The sequence below is a fragment of the Homo sapiens genome, chromosome 3 (assembly GCF_000001405.40).
Source record: "Homo sapiens chromosome 3, GRCh38.p14 Primary Assembly".
In the NCBI taxonomy this organism is placed as follows: domain Eukaryota; kingdom Metazoa; phylum Chordata; class Mammalia; order Primates; family Hominidae; genus Homo; species Homo sapiens.
In genome coordinates, this window is record NC_000003.12 from 101,545,282 (window position 1) to 101,568,748 (window position 23,467).

General features: G+C 43.3%; 1 protein-coding gene across 1 annotated transcript, besides 3 other annotated features; it reads left to right on the forward strand.

Annotated features, from left to right (window-relative positions):
• Nucleotides 10,728–11,340: an enhancer, noted in NCBI's record as "OCT4-NANOG hESC enhancer chr3:101274853-101275465 (GRCh37/hg19 assembly coordinates)". NCBI's record gives its function as "activates a minimal SCP1, AML or CMV promoter by ChIP-STARR-seq in primed H9 embryonic stem cells {active_cell/tissue: H9 hESC(primed)}" and the evidence as "EXISTENCE:reporter gene assay evidence [ECO:0000049][PMID:30033119]".
• Nucleotides 16,573–16,642: an enhancer, noted in NCBI's record as "active region_20165". NCBI's record gives its function as "activates an Ori minimal core promoter by ATAC-STARR-seq in GM12878 lymphoblastoid cells {active_cell/tissue: GM12878}" and the evidence as "EXISTENCE:reporter gene assay evidence [ECO:0000049][PMID:35858748]".
• TRMT10C (tRNA methyltransferase 10C, mitochondrial RNase P subunit) lies at nt 16,587–21,165 on the forward strand. Its single transcript, NM_017819.4, has 2 exons — nt 16,587–16,722; nt 19,489–21,165. Exon 2 carries the CDS (start codon nt 19,501–19,503, stop codon nt 20,710–20,712), a length of 1,212 nt encoding a protein of 403 aa, NP_060289.2. The 5' UTR covers nt 16,587–16,722; nt 19,489–19,500; the 3' UTR covers nt 20,713–21,165.
• Nucleotides 16,653–16,722: an enhancer, noted in NCBI's record as "active region_20166". NCBI's record gives its function as "activates an Ori minimal core promoter by ATAC-STARR-seq in GM12878 lymphoblastoid cells {active_cell/tissue: GM12878}" and the evidence as "EXISTENCE:reporter gene assay evidence [ECO:0000049][PMID:35858748]".

Consider the following 23,467-nt stretch of genomic DNA (forward strand, 5'->3'; position numbering starts at 1 on the left):
CCCAGGAGGCGGAGGTTGCAGTGATCTGAGATCACACCACTGCACTCCAGCCTGGGCGACAGAGCAAGACTCGGTCACAAAAAAAAAAAACAAAAAAAAAAAACACCCCTGGGCCTGGGTTGGGGAGCAATGAGAATGGGGGTATATGTGACCAAAGTCCCATACTCATGTTTCTCTGGGCTTAAAAATTTTGCAAACCTCACATAACTGAGACTGCTCTGAGCTATTTTTCTTTCCTCAATAGGTTATTGAAGCTGTGACTTTAAGCTAAATAATGCATAATAAAACCAAATTTACCTTAGGCTAATTGATATAAACAAGAGTTAAGTTCCTAAGGCATATTTCCAGTAACGAAAACATTACAAAACTTCTAAATAAAGAGAAAAAACACATCTAATATTAAACACTGAAATAAATGTGAGCTATACATACATTTTTAAAGGATTAATAAAAACAAGATAATTGCCCAACTTTTGGTGAATCAGTAAGTGATGAAGGTCACAAGCGTGTTGGGTTAAATCAAGAAATAAACGTTTGCAAAGCAAAAACTGTTAAGTTTTTGGAAAGGGGTTACTGGAAAGGGGTCCCAAACCAGACCCCAAGAGAGGGTTATTGGATCTCATGCAAGAAAGAATTTGAAGCGAATCCAGAAACTGAGAGCAAGTTTATTAGAGAAGTAAAGAAACAAAATAATGGCTACTGCATAGGCAGAGCAGCAGCTTGGAATGCTCAACTGATAATACTTATAGTTATTTCTTTATTATATGCTAAACATAGGGTGGATTATTCATGAGTTTTCCAGGAAAGGACAATTCCCAGAACTGAGCGTTTCTCACCTTTTTAGACCATATAGGGTAACTTCCCAACATTGCTATGGCATTTGTAGACTGTCATGGTGCTGATGCGAGTGTCTTTTAGCATCCTAATGCATTGTAATTAGCATATAATGAACAGTGAGAATTATCAGAGGTCAATTTGGTCACCATCTTGGTTTTGGTCGGCTTCTTTATCACATGCTGTTTTACCAGCAATGTCTTTGTGACCTGTATCTTGTGCCAACCTCCTATCTCATCCTGTGACTAAGAATGCCTAACCTCCTGGGAATGCAGTCCAGTAGGTCTCAGCCTTATTTTACCCAGTCCCTACAGAAGATGGAGTTGCAGGCCAGGCATGGTGGCTCACGCCTGTAATCCCAGCACTTTGGGAGGCTGAGGCAGGTGGATCACCTGAGGTCAGGAGTTTGAGACCAGCCTGACCAACATGGAGAAACCCCGTCTCTACTAAAAATACAAAAAAAATTAGCCAGGCATGGTGGCCTATGCTTGTAATCCCAGGTACTCTGGAGGCTGAGGCAGGAGAATCTCTTGAACCCAGGAGGCAGAGGTTGCGGTGAGCTGACATCGAGCCATTGCACTCCAGCCTGGGCAACAAAAGCAAAACTCTGTCTTAAAAAAAAAAAAAAAAAGATGGAGTTGCTTTAGTTCAAATGCCTCTGACATAAACAGCACTTCCTCCCACCATGCAGTTCAATAACAATCACAAACATGGCAGGCTCATTGAGCGCTTTCATACCACATTGTTTATGGTCATACATTTTGTATGATCACTGTATAATTTACAAATTTTATTTTACAATAATCTGTATTAACTCTTTCATTCATTTTCCAATCTATTTATTCCACCAGTTCAGGGTCAGGTATAGCCAGAGTCTATCCAGCAGCTCAGGGCATAATGCAGAAACCAGACCTGAACAGAACATCATCCTACTGCACAGTGCCCTCACACACACCTGAATTAACTCTGATTGGTACAATGTACACATGCCAATTAACCTAATGTGCACATCTTTGGATTGTGAAAGGAAACTGGAGTACTAAGAGAAAACCCACACCCATATTATTTGAGTACCTGCTGTACAGCACAATTCTTTTGTTTGGCCTCTGACTGTCGTTGTCCAAAGACTTTCATTTCATTAAAGTTTTAAAAAGCAAAAAAGGCCTGGCCTTCAACAACCTTTGCAAAATTATGATAGTAAAAGAAGTCTGACATGGCTGACTCCATCTTGCTTCTAAACTCTAAGCTGTCTATGCTTATTCCTCAGTGTAGCCTAAGCTAACAATGGGAGGAATTTATATTTTAACTTAAAAGCAAGGACAATAATAGTTCCTCTCTAAAACTAACCTCCTCCTTGTTCACAGATTGAAAACCACATTTATAAGATTGATGAAAGGCCACAAGATTAGGATTATGGGAGGGGCCTGAATTCTAGTATAGTTTCTATAATCCCTTGTTCCTCAGGAGTCATGTGGCCACAGGATTTATGACTTTCCCAATTGCTCCTATAGATAACATCACTAAGATTTGTCTTTTGAGATTTTTTCAGACTTTCTGGCAACCAACTGATCCCACCAGGACCCATGACTCTTGACTCAGCTGGTCCTGTGGCCCATCCAGAGGTAGACTTAGCACATGATGACTGTTTTCCACACCCCCATGACTTCATTTCCAACCAATCAGCAGCACCCATTCCCTAGCCACCTGGCCACCAAATGGTCCATAAAATGTCTAGCCTGTTAGTTCTCAGAGAACTGATTTGAGAATTCAAATTCCTCTATGTGGCTGGCCTCATGTCAATTAAACTTTCATTACTGAAATGTGGGGATCTCAGTGAATTGATTTTGTCTGTGCAGCACTCAGGAAGAACTCATCAGGCAATTACAGGCCCAGAAAGAAGAGGCCTTCCTAATTTTGGCAGACTCTAGGACAGAAATACCTACACCAAAAGGAAAAGAGAACATTCATATGGTACTAAATACAGAGAACAAAACTGACTTTTGAAACAAAAATAATTATACTTTGACCTCCATTCCTAGATCATCTCTAGTGACCTCTTCTCTTACATGCCTACCACTCACTTTTGTGGTTATATTATAAATCTTGGCATTACCTGATATTGCTCCACCATGACATTCACAAAAGCAGATATCTGATTCTATCACAACCTCCTATCACTTCAGCTTGCTTACTCAATTACATCTACTAACCTGTTTCTCAACTCCTTTGAAATCTTCAGTCAACTGTTCATTTACTTTCTACAGTCTTTCATCCCACCTTCTATTATTATTTGCCTCTCATTATACAGCTGGGACTCGTAGGGGAGGAAAACTGTCCTCTACCCTCTCAGGTTCTCCAGCTGGGTCTTTGAAATAAACTGACAACATACAAATTAACAGGAGAAAAGGCATACAAATTTATTTGATGTTAAATGTTTTACATGGCACAGGAGTCCTCGTAGAAAAAAAGAAAATCCCCAAAAAACAGCTAGGCTTGGAGAATTTGGACTGAGAAAGATAATTTTTTTTTCAAGACAGGGTCTCACTCTGTCACCCAGGCTGAAGTGCAGTGGTGTGATCATGGCTCACTGCAGTCTTAAACTCCCAGACTCAAGCAATCCTCCTGCCTCAGCCTCCCAAGTAGCTGGGACTGCAGGTGCAAACAACCATGCTCAGCTAGTTTTTTCATAAGAAAGATAAACTTAGAGAGAAGAGACAAGGCAAAGGAAAAGGACTTTGAGCTTCTATGAGTAACAAATTGAGGGAAAGCAAATATATGGGGAAACTGATGATAGATAAGGGCTAGCCAGTAGGTTTGTTTATGTAGACTCTTTCTCAGTGCCATCTCATCTCTGGTGATAAGTTGTTTTCTTCCTGGTATGTAACCATAATAGATTTGTTTCCTGATGCACTCAGCAAGTCAATATACTGAGATACCAGGTTGCAGCAGAGAAAGCGTTTTAATCATAGGGCTGCAAACAAGGAGACAAGAAGAAACCTCAAATCCATCTCCCCAGGGGGTTTGGGGTTAGAGATTTTAAGGGTTTTGCAGTGGGCTGAAGTAAGGAGACTGTTGATTTGTAGAAAATTGTAGAGTGAAGTCATGGAAGAAGGAGATGAATAAGCTGTATATATATATATACACTACCCATGACTATATATATATATATATAGGCACAATAACAGTTTAATGTAGCCTTGACCTCCTGGGCTCAAAGAAACTGTATTCTCATGTTGATTCAGTTCCTCTGTGGGGGTCTTCAAACATTCAAGTTGTACCACTGGAATTCAGAATCTGCTTAAGCACTTTCTTTTTTTTTTTTTTACACACTGTCCCACTCTGTTGCCCAGGCTGAATGTAGTGGCACAATCACAGCACACTGCAGCCTTGACTTCCTGGGCTCAAGCAATCCTCCCAACTCAGCTTCCTGAGTGGCTGGGACTGTTACAGGTAGTTAAATAGGCATGTGTGGGGCAGGACAGGGCTCTTCTTCCCCACCCACTAAGAACGTCAGGTGATGGTTCAAAAATTTTCACACTGACTCTAAAAATAATTTGGCAGCCAGTGACAGGGAGGGACAATCTCCTGATGACCCACAGCTATTACCATTCAAGTGTTAGGCCAGGCACATTGGCTCACTCCTGTAATCCCAGCACTTTGGGTGGCCAAGGCAGTTGGATCACTTGAGGTCAGGAGTGCAAGAACAATCTAGCCAACATGACAAAACCCTGCCTCTACTAAAAATACAAAAAAAAAAAAAAAATTAGCCAGGCATTGTGGTGCATGCCTGTAATCCCAGCTCCTCAGGAGGCTGAGGCACGAGAATCACTTGAACCTGGAGGCAGAGGTTACAGTGAGTCGAGATGGCACTACCGCACTCCAGCCTGGGTGAAGAAGTGAAACTCTGTCTCAAAAAAAAAAAAAAAAAAAAAAAAAGCCCAGGCAGGGTGGCTCATGCCTGTAACTCCAGCACTTTGGGGGGCCAAGGCAGGTGGATCATGTGAGGTTAGGAGTTCAAGACCAACCTGGCCCAAATGGTGAAACCCTGTCTCTACCAAAAAATACAAGAAGTATTTGGTCTTAGTGGTACACACCTGTAGTCCCAGCAACTCGGAAGGCTGAGGTGGGAGAATCTCTTGAACCTGGGAGGCAGATGTTGCAGTGAGCCAAGATTGTGCCACTGTATTCCAGCCTGGGTGACAGAGTGACATTCTGTCTTAAAAAGAAAAACGAAAAAAAACATTAAAGTGTTAACTGAATGCAGACGCCAGGGAGAAACAATTTCCTGGGCATGCACATTAAGAGACAAAATGGTGAAGTATGACCTTCCAGGGACACTCCATTGGAAAAGGGAAGAAAGCCTCAGATGGGCATGCGTACAACTGCCTAAACAGATTGCATGTGTGTGCTCACTTTCCAAGGGTAAGAAGGGCACTGCGCATGCAGACAGCCCATCCTAAGGGAAGAAACATGGGAAAGAGGCAAGCTTATTGATGTGGTTTGGCTCTGTGTCCACACCCAAATTTCATCTTGTAGCTCCCATAATTCTCATGTGTTGTGGAAGGACCTGGCAGGAGAAAACTGAATCATGAGGATGGGTCTTTCCTGTGCTGTTCTCATGATAGTAATTGGGTCTCACAAAATCTGATGGTTTTAAAAACAATAGTTTCTCTGCACAAGCTCTCTCTTACCACCACCATGTAAGAAGTGCCTTTCCGGCAGGCGGATCACCTAAGGTCAAGAGTTCCAGACTGGCCCTCCCCCTCCCCCTCCCCCTCCCTCTCCCCTTTCTTTGTTCGGTCTCCCTCTGTTGCCGAGGCTGGACTGTACTGCCCTCATCTCAGCTCACTGCAACCTGCCTGCCTCGGGCTCCCATGATTCTCCTGCCTCGGCCTGCCCAGTGCCTGGGATTGCAGACACGTGCCGCCACGCCTGACTGGCTTTTGCGTTTTTGGTGGAGACGGGGTTTCGCCGTGTTGACCGGGCTGATCTCCAGCTCCTGACCTTGAGCGATCTGCCCACCTTGGCCTCCCGAGGTGCTGGGATTGCAGACGGAGTCTCACTCACTCAATGCTCAATGTTGCCCAGGCTGGAGTGCAGTGGCGTGATCTCGGCTCACTACAACCTCTACCTCCCAGCCGCCTGCCTTGGCCTCCCAAAGTGCTAAGATTACAGCCTCTGCCCAGCCACTACCCCGTCTAGGAAGTGAGGAGCGTCTCTTCCTGGCCGCCCATCGTCTGGGATGTGAGGAGCCCCTCTGCCCAGCCGCCCCGTCTGGGAAGTAAGGAGTGCCTCTGCCCGGCCGCCACCATGTCTAGGAAGTGAGGAGCATCTCTGCCTGGCCGCCCATCGTCTGGGATGTGAGGAGCGCCTCTGCCCGGCCGCCCCATCTGGGAAGTGAGGAGCGCCTCTGCCCGGCCGCCACCCCGTCTAGGAAGTGAGGAGCATCTCTGCCCGGCCGCCCCATCTGGGACGTGGGGAGTGCCTCTGCCCGGCCGCCCCGTCTGGGAGGTGGGGGGCGCCTTGACCCGGCCAACCCGTCTGGGAGGTGGGGGGGGCGCCTCGACCCGGCCGCCCTGTCTGGGAGGTGGGGGGCGCCTCTGCTCGGCCGCCCCGTCTGGGAGGTGGGGGGCGCCTCTGCCCGGCCACCACCCCGTCTGGGAACTGAGGGGCGCCTCTGCCCGGCCGCCCCATCTGGGAACTGAGGAGTGCCTCTGCCCGGCCGCCCCATCTGGGAACTGAGGAGTGCCTCTGCCCAGCCGCCCCGTCTAGGAAGTGAGCGCCTCTGCCCGGCTGCCCCGGCTGGGAAGTGAGGAACACCTGTGCCCGGCCGCCCCGGCTGGGAGGTGTAGCCAACAGCTCTGAAGAGACAGCGACCATCGAGAACGGGCCATGATGACGATGGCAGTTTTGTAGAAAAGAAAAGGGGGAAATGTGGGGAAAAGAAAGAGAGAACAGATTGTTACTGTGTCTGTGTAGAAAGAAGTAGACATAGGAGACTCCATTTTGTTCTGTACTAAGAAAAACTCTTCTGCCTTGGGATGCTGTTAATCTATAACCTTACCCCCAACCCCGTGCTCTCCGAAACATGTGCTGTGTCCACTCAGGGTTACATGGATTAAGGGCGGTGCAAGATATGCTTTGTTAAACAGATGCTTGAAGGCAGCATGCTCTTTAAGAGTCATCACCACTCCCTAATCTCAAGTACCCAGGGACACAAACACTGCAGAAGGCTGCAGGGACCTCTGCCTAGGAAAACTAGAGTCCTTTGTTCACGTGTTTATCTGCTGACCTTCTCTCCACTATTATCCTATGACCCTGCCACATCCCCCTCTCCGAGAAACACGCAAGAATGATCAATAAATACTAAAAAAAAAAAAAAAAAAAAAAAAAGAGTTCCAGACCAGCCTGGCCAACATGGTGAAACCCCCTCTCTACTAAAGATAGAAAAATTAGCTGGGCGTTTTGGTGCATGCCTGTAATCTCACTACTCAGGAGGCTGAAGCAGGAGAGTTGCTTGAACCCGGGAGGCAGAGGCTGCAGTGCGCTGAGATCATGCTACTGCACTCCATCTGGCCTAGGCAACAGAGTGAGATTCCATCTCAAAAAAAAAAGAAAAATAGTAGAATAAAGGTTAAAGGCAAAATGAAAAAAAAAAAAAAAAAAAAAAGAAGTGCCTTTCCCCTTCCGCCATGATTGTGAGGCCTCCCCAGCCACGTGGAACTGTAAACCCATTCAACCTCTTTCTTCTGTAAATTGCCCAGTCTTGGGTATGTCTTTATCAGCAGCATGAAGATGGACTAAAATGGTAAATTAGTACCAGTGGAGTGGGGTGTTGCTGAAAAGATACCCAAAAATGTGGAAGTGACTTTGGAACTGGGTAATAGGCAGAGGCTGGAACAGTTTGGAGGGCTCAAAAGAAGACAGGAAAATGTGGGAAAGTTTGCAACTTCATAGAGACTTGTTGAATGGCTTTGACAAAAATGCTGATAATGACATGAACAGTAAGGTCCAGGCTGAGGTGGTCTCAGATGGAGATGAGGAGCTTATTGGGAACTGGAGCAAAGGTGACTCTTGTTATGTTTTAGCAAACAGATTGGCAGCATTTTGCCCTTGCCCTAGAGATTTGTGGAACTTTGAACTTGAGAGAGATGATTTAGGGTATCTGGTGGAAGAAATTTCTAAGTAGCAAAGCATTCAAGAGGCTATTTGCATACTGTTAAAGGCGTTCAGTTTCAAAAGGGAAACAAAGCATAAAAGTTCAGAAAATTTGCAGCCTGATGATGCAATAGAAAAGAAAATCCTATTTTCTGAGGAGAAATTCAAGCTGGCTGCAGAAACTTGCATAAGTAACGAGGAGCTGAATGTTAACCACCAAGACAATGGGGAAAATGTCTCCAGGGCATGTCAGAGACCTTTGTGGCAGCCCCTCCCATCACAGGCCGGAGGCCTAGGAGGAAAAAAGTGATTCTGTGGGCTGGGCCCAGGGTCCACCTGCTGTGTGCAGCTTAGGGACTTAACGCTCTGCATCCCAGCCACTCCAGCCATGGCTGAAAGGGGCAAACAAAGAGCTTGGGCCATGGCTTCAAAGGGTGCAAGCCTCAAGCCTTAGCAGCTTCCATGTGGTGTTGAACCTACGAGTGCACGGAAGTCAAGAATTGAGGTTTGGGAGCTTCTGCCTAGATTTCAAAAGATGTATGGAAACGCCTGGATGTCTAGGCAGAAGTTTGCTGTGGGGCGGGGTCCTCATGGAACCTCTGCTAGGGCAGTGCAGAAGAGAAATGTGGGGTGGGAGCCCCCAAACAGAGTCCCTACTACTGGGGTACTGCCTAGTGGAGCTATGAGAAGAGGGCCACTGTCTTCCAGACCCCAGAATTGTAGATCCACTGCCAGCTTTGCACCATGCATCTCGAATGCTGCAGACACTCAATGCCACCCTGTGAAGACAGCCAGGAGGGAGGCTTTACCCTGCAAAGCCACAGGGGCGGAGCTGCCCAAGACCATGGGAACCCACCTCTTGCATCAGCATGACCTGGATGTGAGACATGGAGTCAAAGGAGATGATTTTGGAGCTTTCAGATTTGACCGCCCTGCTGGATTTTGGACTTGCAGGGGCCCTATAGCCCCTTCGTTTTGGCCAATTTCTCCCATTTGGAATGGCTGTATTTACCCAATGCCAGTACCGCCATTGTATCTAGGAAATAACTAACTTGCTTTTGATTTTACAGGCTCATAGGCAGAAGGAACTTGCCTTGTCTTGGATAAGACTTTGGACTGTGGACTTTTGAGTTAATGCTGAGATGAGTTAAGGCTTTGGGGGACTGTTGGGAAGGCATGATTGGTTTTGAAATGTGAAGATCAGAGATTTGGAAAGGGCCAGGAGCAGAATGATATGGTTTGGCTCTGTGACCCCACCCAAATCTCATCTTGTAGTTCCCATAATTCCCACTTGTGGGAGAGACATGGTGGGAGATGATCAAATCATGGGGGTGGGTCTTTCCTACGCTGTTCTCATGATAGTGAATGGGTCTCATGAGATCTGATGGTTTTAAAAATGGGAGTTTCTCTGCACAAGCTCTCTCTTGCTGCCACCATGTAAGAAGTGACTTTTGCCTTCTGCCATGATTGTGAGGCCTCCCCAGCCACATGGAACTGTAAGCCCATTAAACCTCTTTCTTCTGTAAATTGCCCAGTCTCAGGTATGTCTTTATCAGCAGCATGAAAACAGACTAACACACCTATAAAGTCCTAGGATCAAGATTAAACACCACACTTGACCTTCAGGTGCCCACTTGGATCTCGTCCAAGTGAATTTTCCTTCTTTCCTGTTCTAAAGCCTTTAAAATAAACTTCCACTCCTGCTCTGAAACTCACCTCTGTCTCTTCTTCTGCCTTCTGCTCCTCAGTTGAAATCTTTCTTCTGAGGAGACAAGAATTGAAGTTGCTGCAGACCCATACAAAGTCGCTGCTGCCGGTAACTCAGATACCTTCCAACAGTAACAGGACTACAAGCATGCACCACCATGCCCAGCTAATTTTTTTTAGTTCCTATAGAGACAGAATCTCATTATGTTGCCCAGGGTGGTCTCAAACTCCTGGACTCAAGTGATCCTCCTGCTTCAGCTTCCTAAAACGCTGGGATTATAGGGGTGAGCCATCATGCCTGGCCAAGCACTTTTTAAATAAAATTCTTATGATTCTAATATCAGAGCTCCTACCTATCTTAAAAACTTTATGATTTTAACATCAGAAATTCTATTTATAGGAACAATGGGGATGCAAATCTGGTGCTATGTAACTTTTGGTTATGAGGAAGTGAGTCAAAGTGCAGCTTGATTAATGCTTAATTATAATTGTATTTCTGTCCATTATTCTTGCTAACCCCGTGACAACAACTTCATTAAGTGTGTGAGTGGTGGGAGGAACACCTTCACAAGAGGAAATGTATGTTTTACTCTCAGGCAGATAGGAGAGGGCAGAGAGCTCATGTTATGTCTGCTTTTTATTAATTGTCTTCAGCTCAAAATAATCCTTACACCAGAGAGACATTTTTGGGGATGGTATATTTTGATCTCCTATAGACTCTACAGACCACTCCTGCAGCCACTCTGATGCTGATGATGGGGCTCAGGATACACCAACCCAAAATATGACCATAGGAGACTAGAACACATCACCCTAAAATATGCCTCTTTGACATATTGATTATTCTGATCTAGTTATTCTGGGAAGCTGCAGACACAGAAGCAGCTATGAAAAGTTGTCCTTTTATCTCAATAAAGGAAATCTCCATTGATAAGGATGTCTCCCTCTCTGCACCAAGAAGACACTGATTATTAAATCACTAGATACACTTTTTGTTTTTTTGACATGAAGTCTCACTCTGTTGCCCAGGCTGGAGTGCAGTGGCATGATGTCTGCCTCCTGGGTTCAAGCAATTCTCCTGCCTCAGTCCCCTAAGTAGCTGGGACTACAGGCATGCACCACCACGTCTAGCTAATCTTTTTTTTTTTTTTTTTGTATTTTTAGTGGAGATGGGGCTTTGCCATGTTGGCCAGGCTGGTCTCAAATTCCTGAGCTCAGGTGATCAGCCCACCGCATCCTCCCAAAGTGCTGGCATTACAGACATGAGCCACCAGTCTGGCCCTAAATCACTAGAGACTCTTAAACAATCAAGGCAGAATCACCTGAAATCTGCATAACAAACCTTATCTCCGTTTAAGGTAATTTTGCTGGTCATCTCAACTTAACTGAATCTGTCTCCACATCCTTCTTTGTTGTTGTTGTTGTTGTTGTTGTTTTCAGAAAATGATAATATTCAACCCTGAAGTTTAAAATCTTTTTTTGTTAATTTTTATTTTTTAAGATTTACTCATCTCTCTGGGTTATCTCCCATGCATACAAGAGGTATACAAGTTATTAAACTTGTTTTTCTCTTGTTCAATCTGTCTTTTGTTACAGAGAGTCTCAGCTAAGAACTCATGAAGGGAAGATAGATAGTCATATTTCTTCCCCTATACCAAAATATTTAACAACTTTACACCACTCCCCTTCTGTAAACTGAGTTTTACCCAGCCATCTTAGCCCTTAGCAGCATTAGCAAAATAGGGAGAAAGATCACGTAACACAGATTGGTATCACTATAAATTCATGATCCCCAAACTGAACTAGACTATTAGCACTGCCTGATATCATGGCTGTCTCACTAGTCAACTCATACTTCTTTCTTTACCATCTTAACCATTTTTTGAGTGTGCAGTTCAGTAGTGTTAACTATATTTACATTGCTATGCAACAGATCTCCAGGACTTTTTCATCTTGCATATCTGAAACTCATTAAACAACTCCACCATTCCTGGTAACTGTCACAGGGGGTGGCAGGGACAACTATCTGGGCCGGTGGCTCTGGAGTAAAAGAATTTACCAAAAACGCTTGTAAAGAAAGGCAAATTTATTAAAGAAAGTAGGAAAAGCCAGGCACGGCTCACGCCTGTAATCCCAGCACTTTGGGAGGCTGAGGCAGGCAGATCACAAGGTCAAGAAATTGAGACCATTCTGGCAAACATGGTGAAACCCCGTCTCTACTAAAAATACAAAAATTAGCTGGGCGTGGTGGCGCATGATTGTAGCCCCAGCTACTCGGGAGGCTGAGGCAGGAGAATCGCTTGAATCCAGGAGGCGGAGGTTGCAGTGAGCTGAGATCGCACCACTGCACTCCAGCCTGGTGTCAGAGCGAGACTCCCTCTCAAAAAAAAAAAAAAAGAGAGAGAGAGAAAGAAAGTAGGAAAATACATTGCAATAAAGCAACCGGAAGGCTGCAAAAGAGGAGCCGACTGCAAAGAGACAAAGATTAGCTGGAGATTTTATAACATAGAACTTGGGCTGATTGATAATGCCAATGCACTGGCAGCATAACTTGCTTTCTTTTGTCAGCTGAGATGTTTGATAAATTGAGGCGTTTGTTGGTAAGCAGTAAGTTTTTGAGTTACGTACATTATCTGAGTAGGAGGGCCATATGTATTGGGCAATATGTCCTTGGGCATAAAGAAAAACAGACCTATAATTCATCCTCTTCCTTTTTTGTTTATATGTCCTGAACCGTGAAGACAGGCATATTTATAGCTTATTTGCTTTATCTCTTTGCTTTCCTCTGGTCCCGCCAGCCTGACTCCTTTTCCCTAATTAGGACTCCACAGTAACAACCATTCTACTTTCTGTTTCTGTACATTTGTTATATGTTATTCTTTATGACAATAACAAACCTTCACCCAATCTTTAGTATCCGCAGAGGTAGTCTGTCTACCTCTTTCACAGAGAATGCGAACTGTATCAAATTATAGCCATCATGTCTATAAATTGTCCTCCATACCCACCTTAAGTTTCTTCCTTTCTTCTTGTTACAATGAAAGTGGTATTTCTTCCTCTTATACGAAACCAATCTCTCCATCTCTCCTCTAAATAGCATCTCTCCTCTATATACCATCTCTGTTAATCTTCTCAGGAAGTCTACCCATCCCATTATCCTTTCTTTCTCTTACCCCTTTGCTGATGATTCTAACAGCATTTAAAATGTCAGGCCTCTCCCAATCTAACATAATAATAATGAAGAAAATTTTCCTGGACTCCACATCCAGGGACTGAGCACGCTGTCTTTTCTTTAGACAAATTTCATAGAAATGTTTAAACTTGCTGATTCTATTTTCTCATAATCTCCTCATTCCTTATTCACTCTCATCTGGCTAAAGCCCCCAAACCTCACAATGAAGGTCCCAGTGGCCCTTGTATTGCTAAATCTAGTAGATACTTTTCAGTCTGCATTGCATGATCTCTAGGCAATATTTGACCCTGTTACCCATCCACTTGTCTTTGAAAACACCTTTTCCTTGATTTCTATGTCATATTCTGGTTGTTTTCCTCCCATCTCTTTAGCTGCTTATTTTCAGTTTCTTTTGTCCATTCCTGTTCTCTACCCAAGCCCTAGGTAATCTCTTCCACCCATATGGTTTCACAGACTCTATGTTAATAACTCTCAAATATGTATCTTTGGTGCATTCTTCTTTCACCTAAACTCTAGACCCATACAGCCAACTGCCAAATATCCTAAAGGAGATATCATTTGGCTATTTTGAAGAGAGATGAAAAGCCGCATGTCTAACACTATACTTACCATCTCTGCCCTCACACCATATACTCCTTTTCACTGTCTGCCCAGGTGCTCAAACCAGACTATTGACTTGTTCCTCTCCTTCTCTCCCAAATTGATCACCAAATTCTGTCATGTCCAGCTCTTAAATATCTTTCAAATATTCCCCCTTTTCTTTGCCTTTACTGCCACCACTGTTGTCCAAGCCACTAACATCACTTACCTGATCTATTTAGTATTCATTCATCAGCAAATTATTATTGAGTTTCCGATACTTGCCAAGCACTGTTGTAGACATTGAAGGTAGAGCAGAGAATCAAATACAAGAGTTCTCTACTTTGTAAGTAACACCTAAATCTTTGAATCCATGCTTTGTCTTCCAACTCTTGAAAGAGACGTTGGTATAGAGAAATCGTTCTCTATTATATAATAAACAGTGCAGGCAAAATACATGGCAAATGACATTTGCACCAGTGTAGAAAAGATAACATGTGGTGGAATAAGCTCTGGGGAACTGGAGAGTGGGTGCCTTGACTACAAAACAGCCTTTATTTAGGTCTAACCATTGTTTCCAAGAAGAAATATGAGCCAAGAGAGAGCATTCAGACCTTCTAGTTTTTCAATTCTAGTGTTTATGTGACATTGTCTTATGGGTTTTTATATATTTCCTTGCTTTTAAAATTTATTTCTTTTTCTTTTCTTTTTTTGTGTATTTTTTGTAGAGAGAGGGTTTCACCACGTTGGCCAGGCTGGTCTGGAACTCTTGAGCCCAAGCAATCTGCCTGCCTTGGCCTCCCAAAATGCTGATTATAGGCATGAGCCACTGCTCCTGGCCTACAATTTATTTTTTATTTTTTTGATACCTTACATCCCATATTACAAGCTATTTTTCTATGCCAAAACATGTATTTTGAGGCCGGGCGCGGTGGCTCACGCCTGTAATCCCAGCACTGTGGGAGTCCGAGGCGGGCGGATCACGAGGTCAGGAGATCGAGACCATCCTGGCTAACACGGTGAAACCCTGTCTCTACTAAAAATACAAAAAATTAGCCGGGCGCGGTGGCGGGCGCCTGTAGTCCCAGCCACTCGGGGGCTGAGGCAGGAGAATGGCGTAAACCCGGGAGGCGGAGCTTGCAATGAGCCGAGATCGCGCCACTGCACTCTGGCCTGGGTGAAAGAGCGAGACTCCGTCTCAAAAAAAAAAAACAAAAAAACGTATTTTGAAAATCACTGTGCTTTTTGTTGGAGGTAAGATGTCTGAAACCTGGAAATATTCTTAATCTAGAATAGGTCAGATCCCAGACATATTGAATAAATTATGTTCTGCTATATTTATAGAAACACTTCCAAAGATTTTTCACATAAAGAATCTTAGTAAACTTAACAGAATGAAATTTCCTTTACTTGACAAAGATCATATAGCAAAAACCTTCATAAAATATTAATGGAAAAACTTCAGATGTATCTCTTTAAAGAACAGGAACAAGAAAAAATAACCTCTACACTGCTATTTGTTATAACTACTAGACGATATTTATTCTTGATTTTTTTCCATGTTTGGGAGTAAACTCATGATTATTTTGCTATCACCACCTCACCTTTCTAACATGATAGTAATCAGTCTCTTAGACAAGATCTCGTTTTTTAAAATCATTTGGAAAAGACTATGCCTACCTTCTTTTATTTTAGTAAACTATATACAATATAAACATTTCCATTTTAGTCATTTTCAAGTGTACAGTTCAATGGCATTAAGTACATTCACGTTCTTGTACAACCATCACTACTATCCATCTCCAGAACTTTTTCATCATCCCATACTGAAAATTCATACCTATTAAACAGTAACTGCCCATTCTTCCCTTTCCCCAGCCCCTGGTAAACACTATTCTACTTTCTTTCTTTATGATTTGACTATTCTAGGCACTTCATATAGGTGGACTTATACAATATTTGTCCTTTTGTGCCTGGCTTATCTCAGTGTATAATGCCTCCAAAGTTTATCCATGTTGTACCATGTATCAGAACTTCATTCCTTTTTAAGACTGAATAATATTCCATTGTATGTACATGCAACATTTTTTAATCTATTCATCTGTTCATGGATATTTGGGTTGCTTCCACCTTTTGGTTATTATCAATAATGCTACAATGACATTAGAGTACAAGTGTCTGTTTGTGTCTCTGCTTTCAATTTCTTTGGGTATATTACTAGGAGTAGAATGGCTGCAGAATATGTTCATTCTGTGTTTGGTTACAAATATATGTGGAGGCTGAATTGGCCCCAAAGGCCACCAATTTACAAATGTGTTTTAATTTCATTTCACATTAAACTTTCCAAATGAGCTAGGAGGAGACAGAAACTTACCGTGGCTTATCACGTTCCAAGCATAGTGCCAGGTACTGGTGATAAACTGGTCAAAAAGATTAGGAGTTTAAAGTCCTAGCGTCAAGGAGTTTGAAGCTGAGTAAGAAGACGTGTGAAAAAAACATACTTTATTTTAGTACTCTGTCAGCAAATGTTTATAAATACAGGGCCCAAACAGAGAGTAGGTTGAAAAGAGGATTAGAAACAGTTTTTTTTTTTTTTTTTTTTTTTTTTTGAGACAGAGAGTCTTGCTCTGTCGCCCAGGCTGGAGTGCAGTGGCGCGATCTCAGCTCACCGCAACCTCCGCCTCCCAGGTTCAAGCGATTCTCCTGCCTCAGCCTCCCGAGCAACTGGGATTACAGGCGCGCGCCACCACACCTGGCTAATTTTTGTATTTTTAGTAGAGACGGGGTTTCACTATGTTGGCCAGGCTGGTCTCAAACTCCTGACCCCAAGTGATCCGCCCGCCTCGGCCGCCCAAAGCACTGGGATAACAGGCGTAAGCCAACTGGCCCGGCCCAGAAGAAGTTTTTAGGATATATGGAGGAAAACACAACACAACACAGCTACAACTCCGTGACAACTGAGAGCGTAGTCTTCGAGTACCCAGTTGCCTACTGACAGCCGTCTCCTCTAAGGCGCTTCTTTTAGCCAAGAAAGCGTTCTTTGCGTGCTGTGACGTAAAAAGCAGCGCCGGAAGGGAGAGGGCGGAACTTCCGGCTGAGCCCCAGCGACCGCTCTGGTCGGCTGTGTAGACTGTTGGGTAGGCTGCGTGCTAGCTTCGGCGCGGATCCCTGGGCGTCCGTACGTCGGAGTCCTTCGTCCTCCAGGGTCCCTGTTCTTTGCGCCAGCGGGAACCACTATCTCTGCACTCCTGGTAAGCGAGTTTCTTCTTTCGCCTAATGTGTGTGTTGGGGGTGGGAGGACGCCGGAGACGTTCCAAGATGCACTTAGTGGAGCATGTGCGTTCGGAAGGCCCACGGGTAAGAGGAAGCCCAGTGATTTTAATAAACTATAACTAGTACAGTACCTGAAACAAAATCAGTGGTTCCTGAAATGATGTACTTGATTGCTTTTTACAATTGGGGTTTTCATTTCTGTGGTATTCTAAGTCCTTGCCAGTTACAAGAATAAAACTTTTAAAACTCCTTCTGAAATCAATGTTTATTAGATTGGGGCCTGGGGACCCCAGTTAAATATTTCCGGGATTCTAAAGTAAATTGTTTTCTCTTTAAAGGGAGGCTGAGCCGGGCGCGGTGGCTCACGCCTGTAATCCCAGCACAATGAGAGGCCGAGGTGGGCGGATCACGAGGTCAGGAGATCCGAGACCATCCTGGCTAACACAGTGAAACCCCGTCTGTACTAAAAATACAAAATAGCCGGGCGTGGTGGCGGGTGCCTGTAGTCCCAGCTACTCGGGAGGCTGAGGCAGGAGAATGGCGTGAACCCTGGGAGGCGGAGCTTGCGCCGAGATCGCGCCACTATACTCCAGCCTGGAGTGACAGAGCGAGACTCCGTCTCAAAAAAAATAATAAAGGGAGGCTGAACTTTTTTTTTCTTTTTTTTTTTTTTAATGAAGGAAGCATCGATCTAGGGTATTAGAAAAATATTTGCGTGATTACTGTGAGCCAAATACTGTCAAGCATTGGATTCAATGTTAACATTATAGACAAAGTCCTTGTCCTCATGGACACTAGTTAGTCCTTACCATCTAGTGAGGCAAATAGATAACCAGGCAATTACAGTGCAGTGTTAGAAGTACTGTCATAGGCACCAGAGTGCTGTGAAAAGTAATGGTGGAATACTTGAAGTGTGAGGTGAAGAATAGCTAGAGATGCTGCTGACCTGGCCGCAATAAGCTTAGAAATATATGTTGGGAACAATACCAATGGATAGCAATATCCCTTGAAACAGAACATTGAAGGAGGATCAGATTGTGAAGCAAAGGTAGAGGGGTTATTTCGATTTGTTGCGTTTGAGGTGTTTTTTGTTTGTTTTTGTTGTTTTGAGACAGTCTTACTCTGTCGCTCACTGCAACAGATTTTGTTGCAAAATCTCGGCTCACTGCAACTTCCGCCCCCCTTATTCAAGCGATTCTTCTACATCAGCCTCACGAGTACCTGGGAAGTAGAAGAATCGCCCCACTTCAGCCTCACGAGTACCTGGGATTACAGGCATGCGCCACCACACCTGGCTAATTTTTGTATTTTTAGTAGAGACAGGGTTTCGCCATGTTGGTCAGGCTGGTCTCAAACTCCTGACCTCAAGCGATCCTCCCTCCTCGGCCTTCCAAAGTGCTGGGATTACAGGAGTGAGCCACTGCACCCGGCCTGCATTTGAGATGTCTTTCTAATGCATGGTCATTGAAGCCACAGAAGTAGGTCACATCTCAGAAGGGAAATGTATAGATTGAAAAAAAAGAATAGGATAGAATGCGGAGTTACATCCACCTTTAAGGGAGGGGCATCTGGACATCAGTGCACAGGTCAGAGAGCAGGAAACCTAGGAGCCTGTGCAGGGTCATTAAATGAAGCCAAGGGAAGAAGGAATTTTTCAAGTGTTTTATTTGCATTTTGTAAAAATTTGAATTCCCTTTATTTCTTTTCCTTCAAATTTGAGACAAGTTTTACATCTTTAAGCATCTTCAATATCTCATGGACATCCAGGCTTTTAGGATAAAACTGTGGAGCTTTATATACATTTATATACATTTGTCTCAATCTTGGACATTTTCTTTGTTAATAACATTATTTGCTGCAAAATAAAGCCTGAACTGGGGAAGAATTTGTTGCTATTTTTTGATCAGTAGATCTTGGTATATTTCTGTAACGAGGGCATTGGTACAGCAGTTTCTAAGTGCTTTTTACCTGTTGCCATTCTCAGTACCTTTCATGTCCTTTGTCTTTATTTGTTGCTTTTGTGAAGGATCTTATGTTTGGTTCTGTATCTGGGCTTAGTGTAGAATGGAGGAGTATGCAGCATCATGATGTCAGCTGCCTCGGTGGTACATAACTTTGTTGCCCAGTAACATTGATTCTCTGGGCCCCTAGATAAAAATCTAAAAAGGATCTTCAACTTATCCTTTTAGCTAAAGCAATAGTGAAATTCATGTCTAAAATAAGAACCCAACTTTTTTTTTTTTTTTTTTTGAGACAGAATCTCACTCTGTCACCCAGGCTGGAGTGCAGTGGCACAATCTCGCCTCACTGCAACCTCCAACTCCCGGGTTCAAGCAATTCTCCTGCCTCAGCCTCCCGAGAAGCTGGGATTACAGGTGCTTGCCACCATACCTGGCTAATTTTTGTATTTTTGGTAGAGATGGGGTTTCTCACCATGTTGGCCAGGCTAGTCTTGAACTCCTGACCTCAGGTGATCCACCCACCTCAGGCTCCCAAAGTGCTGGGATTACAGGCATGAGCCACTGCGCCCGGCCAAGAACCCAACTAAGTTTTAAACTTTTTACTCAATGAGTGATCACAGGCTGTAGACCACAGGAGTCTAGGAAAAAAATTGGTACAAAGATTTTACCTTGTGTTTCAAAAATTGATTTTATTTTGCTATTTCAAATTTATACTTGCACAATTAGTTGAGAAGTTATAAAAATCTTTGTCTAATTTTTAATTGCATTTTTCTTCTTTTACAGGGGTTTTGTTACATGGCTGCTTTCCTCAAAATGAGTGTTAGTGTCAATTTCTTCAGACCTTTCACCAGGTTTTTGGTGCCATTTACCCTTCATAGGAAGAGAAATAACTTAACAATTTTGCAGAGATACATGTCTTCCAAAATACCAGCTGTTACTTATCCTAAAAATGAGAGTACACCCCCTTCTGAAGAGCTAGAGTTGGATAAGTGGAAAACTACCATGAAATCTAGTGTGCAAGAAGAATGTGTTTCAACAATCTCAAGCAGTAAGGATGAAGATCCTCTAGCTGCCACCAGAGAGTTCATTGAGATGTGGAGATTGCTTGGCAGAGAAGTACCAGAACACATCACTGAAGAAGAGCTCAAAACCCTTATGGAATGTGTTTCTAACACAGCAAAAAAAAAATATTTAAAATATTTATATACGAAGGAAAAAGTGAAAAAAGCTAGGCAAATAAAAAAGGAAATGAAAGCAGCAGCAAGGGAAGAAGCAAAAAATATCAAGCTGCTAGAAACCACTGAGGAAGATAAACAGAAAAACTTTCTATTTTTACGACTTTGGGATAGGAATATGGACATAGCAATGGGCTGGAAGGGTGCCCAGGCCATGCAGTTTGGACAACCTTTGGTTTTTGACATGGCTTACGAAAATTATATGAAACGAAAAGAATTGCAGAATACTGTTTCCCAGCTTTTAGAAAGTGAAGGATGGAACAGAAGAAATGTTGATCCTTTCCATATTTATTTCTGCAATCTAAAAATAGATGGTGCTTTGCACAGAGAGTTAGTTAAACGGTATCAAGAAAAATGGGACAAATTGCTTTTAACATCAACAGAAAAGTCTCATGTAGATTTATTTCCAAAGGACAGTATTATCTATTTAACTGCAGATTCTCCCAATGTTATGACTACTTTCAGGCATGACAAAGTTTATGTAATTGGGTCTTTTGTTGATAAGAGTATGCAGCCAGGCACATCCCTAGCCAAGGCAAAACGGCTGAACCTGGCAACTGAATGCCTTCCATTAGATAAATATTTACAATGGGAAATTGGTAACAAAAATCTCACCTTAGATCAAATGATACGTATTTTGTTATGTCTGAAAAACAATGGTAATTGGCAAGAGGCTCTGCAATTCGTTCCCAAGAGAAAACATACTGGTTTTCTGGAGATTTCTCAGCATTCTCAAGAGTTTATCAACAGACTAAAGAAGGCAAAGACTTAATTCATTTTCAAAAGGTTCTCTGAATGTGCACAGAACACGTGGCTCAAATGAGAACATTTGATGGCTTAAAAAGTAAATGCGTTAGAAATACAGTTCTGTTAATGTATTTCTTCCCAAACAATTCATTTTTCTCTTCTAAAGGTAGTCTTTCCCAACTGACTGTAGGGTTGTGTCTTTTCCCAATTAAATATCTGCAGAACTTTGGGATTATACTTTGTTTACTGTAGAAAGATAATAAAAAGAGTTGTCCAAGATTGTTGAACAGAATAATCTTTATCCCAGTTAAATAGTTGTACCATTGGTAGACTTTTTTATGGAGGTTCCTAGAGGGTGGTGCCCTGGGGTGGGCTTGGAAGCTCTGCACCCCTTCCCCCATAGCTTTCCCCGTGCATCTCTTTGTCTGTATGTTTTGTAATATCTTTTACAGTAAACTGGTAAATGTGTTTCCTTCAATTCTATGAGCCATTCAAGCAAATTAATCAAGAGAAGGAGTTGGTACCCCAACTTGAAGCCAGTCAGAAGTTCTGTAGGCCCAGATTTGCAACTTGTTTCTGGTGGGAGAAGGGAGTAGTTTTGGGGACCAGGCCCTCAATCTGTGGGCTCTGACACTATCTCCAGGTAGATAGCGTCTGAATTGAATTACAGAACACCTAGCTGGTGTCCACTGCAGAACTGATAGCTTGTGTGTTGAGAAATTCCCCGACATTTGGTCACAGAGGTCTTCTGTGTTGCTTGTTGAGTGAGAAAATAGGAAAAAGGACTTTGTGGGGGGTTTTCTATACAACTATGAAAAACGGGTTCACAGGGATAAAACTGATTTCTTGTCCTCTTACAGAAAAAGGGATTTATGTCTGGTGCATTGGCTCACTCCTGTAATCCCAGCACTTTGGGATGCCAAGGCAGGCTGATCACTTGAGCCCAGGAGTTTGATACCAACATGGGCAGCATGGTGAAACCCCATCTCTAAAAAAAATACAAAAATTAGCCTAGGTGTGGTGGTGTGTGCATGTAGTCCCTGCTACTTGGGAGGCTAAGGTGGGAGGATCACTTGAGCCTGGGAGGTGGAGGTTGCAAGTGAGCCAACATTGTGCTGCTGTGCTATAGCCTGGGCAACAGAGAGAGACCCTGTCTGAGAAATTAAAAATAAAGTTTTTGAAAACATGGGAAATAGGAATGATATAGGCAACTATTCCCAATTTCTGAATTGGAAATTGGCATAAACGTCCAATGCATTTCTTTTCTTTCTGTTTCTTTTTTTGTGATGGAGTCTCACCTTGTAAACCAGGCTGGAGTGCAGTGGTGTGATCATGGCTCACTGCAGCCACAATCTCCTGGGCTCAAGTAAGCCTCCTGCCTCAGTTTCCCAAGTAGCTGGAATTTTAGAACCCCGAATGATGCCCTGTTGCAGGGTTGCATTTGCTAGAAGGAAGAGACGCCATTTCTTCATACAAAGACTGTCTGCCTTTAGGCCATGTGCTTAAAAGACTGCATCCACTAAGGAGGTATTCCTTTCTTAATTTGCCCAAAGACAGACAAGGTGACATCTCCACAGACTTGAAGTGAGAGTAAGCTATGAAGATATGAGGGAAGGGAATTCCAAGCAAAAGGAACAAGTGTCAGAAGCCCTTGAGAGAGGGTTCAAGGTCCAATAAGGCTGGTGCGCCTGAAGCAAAATGAGTAAAAAGAGCTGAAGATCAGGTCAGAGGAGTAGCTAGGTCTGTCAAGTAAGGCATCTTAAGCCACCGTAAGAACTTTGGTTTTTACCAGAGGATCAGAGGATCTGACTCATTCTCCACCCCCCACCCCCATGGTTTTGTATATTTATTCTTTGTGAAAACACGTAACAAACTTTTTCCTCCAGCCCAGATATAGATCTCAGATGGGTGATTTTTTTTTTCCCTCCCCTCCTTGGATGATTTCTTTTCTTCCTCTGTCTCTGATTCTTGTTGTCTTTTCTTGCCCACTTGCTACCACCGCCCCATTTGGGGATCTTCCTCTTGTCTTCTTCTCCTCCCACCTGCCCCACCCCACCCCAAATTGGATTCAGTTTAAAATGATGACTTTGGCTATGTCGAGAATAGATTATGAGAGAGACCAGTTAGGAGGCTATTGCAGTAACAAAAGTGAGAGATAATAGTAGGTTGTAGGAGGGTGGTAACAGAGTAGGTAGTGAGACACAGTCAGATCTGAATGTGTTTAGTAAGAGAGAAAATTTAGGGAAGACTTCAAGATTGTTGACTAGAGAAACTGGAAGGACTTGTTACTATTTACCGAAATGCAGAAGCTTTGAGGGGGCAGGTAATCCAAAGTTAACTTTGGGACATTTTACAGTTGCCTATTAGATGTCCAAGTGGAGATATCAAGTGGTCAGTTGGATATATGAGCCTGGAGTTCAGAGACAAGGTCTGGCTGGAGATGTTAATAATGTAATTAGTTAAATGCTCCAGACTAGTTGAGGCCATCTAGGGAGTCTGTGTGGATAAAGATATCAGATGTCTGAGCCCTAAGGTACTCCAACATTTAGAGGTGTGAGAGATGAGAAGAACCCAGCAAGTAAGACTGAGGTAGAGCAACCAGTAAGAAAAGAGAGAAAATGTCCTGGAGGCAAAATGAAAAAAAGTGTTTCATGCTGCAGATCAGGTAAGATGAAGTCTGAGAGCTGACCACTGAATGTAGGAATGAGGACATTGCTGATTATCTTGACAACAGCAATTTCAATAGAGGATTGAAAAGAAAGCCAACTGGAGTAGGTTTA

Bases quoted from the DNA above. Each gene is read 5' to 3' on its own strand.
- TRMT10C (NM_017819.4), top strand. From the start codon at position 19,501: ATGGCTGCTTTCCTCAAAATGAGTGTTAGTGTCAATTTCTTCAGACCT.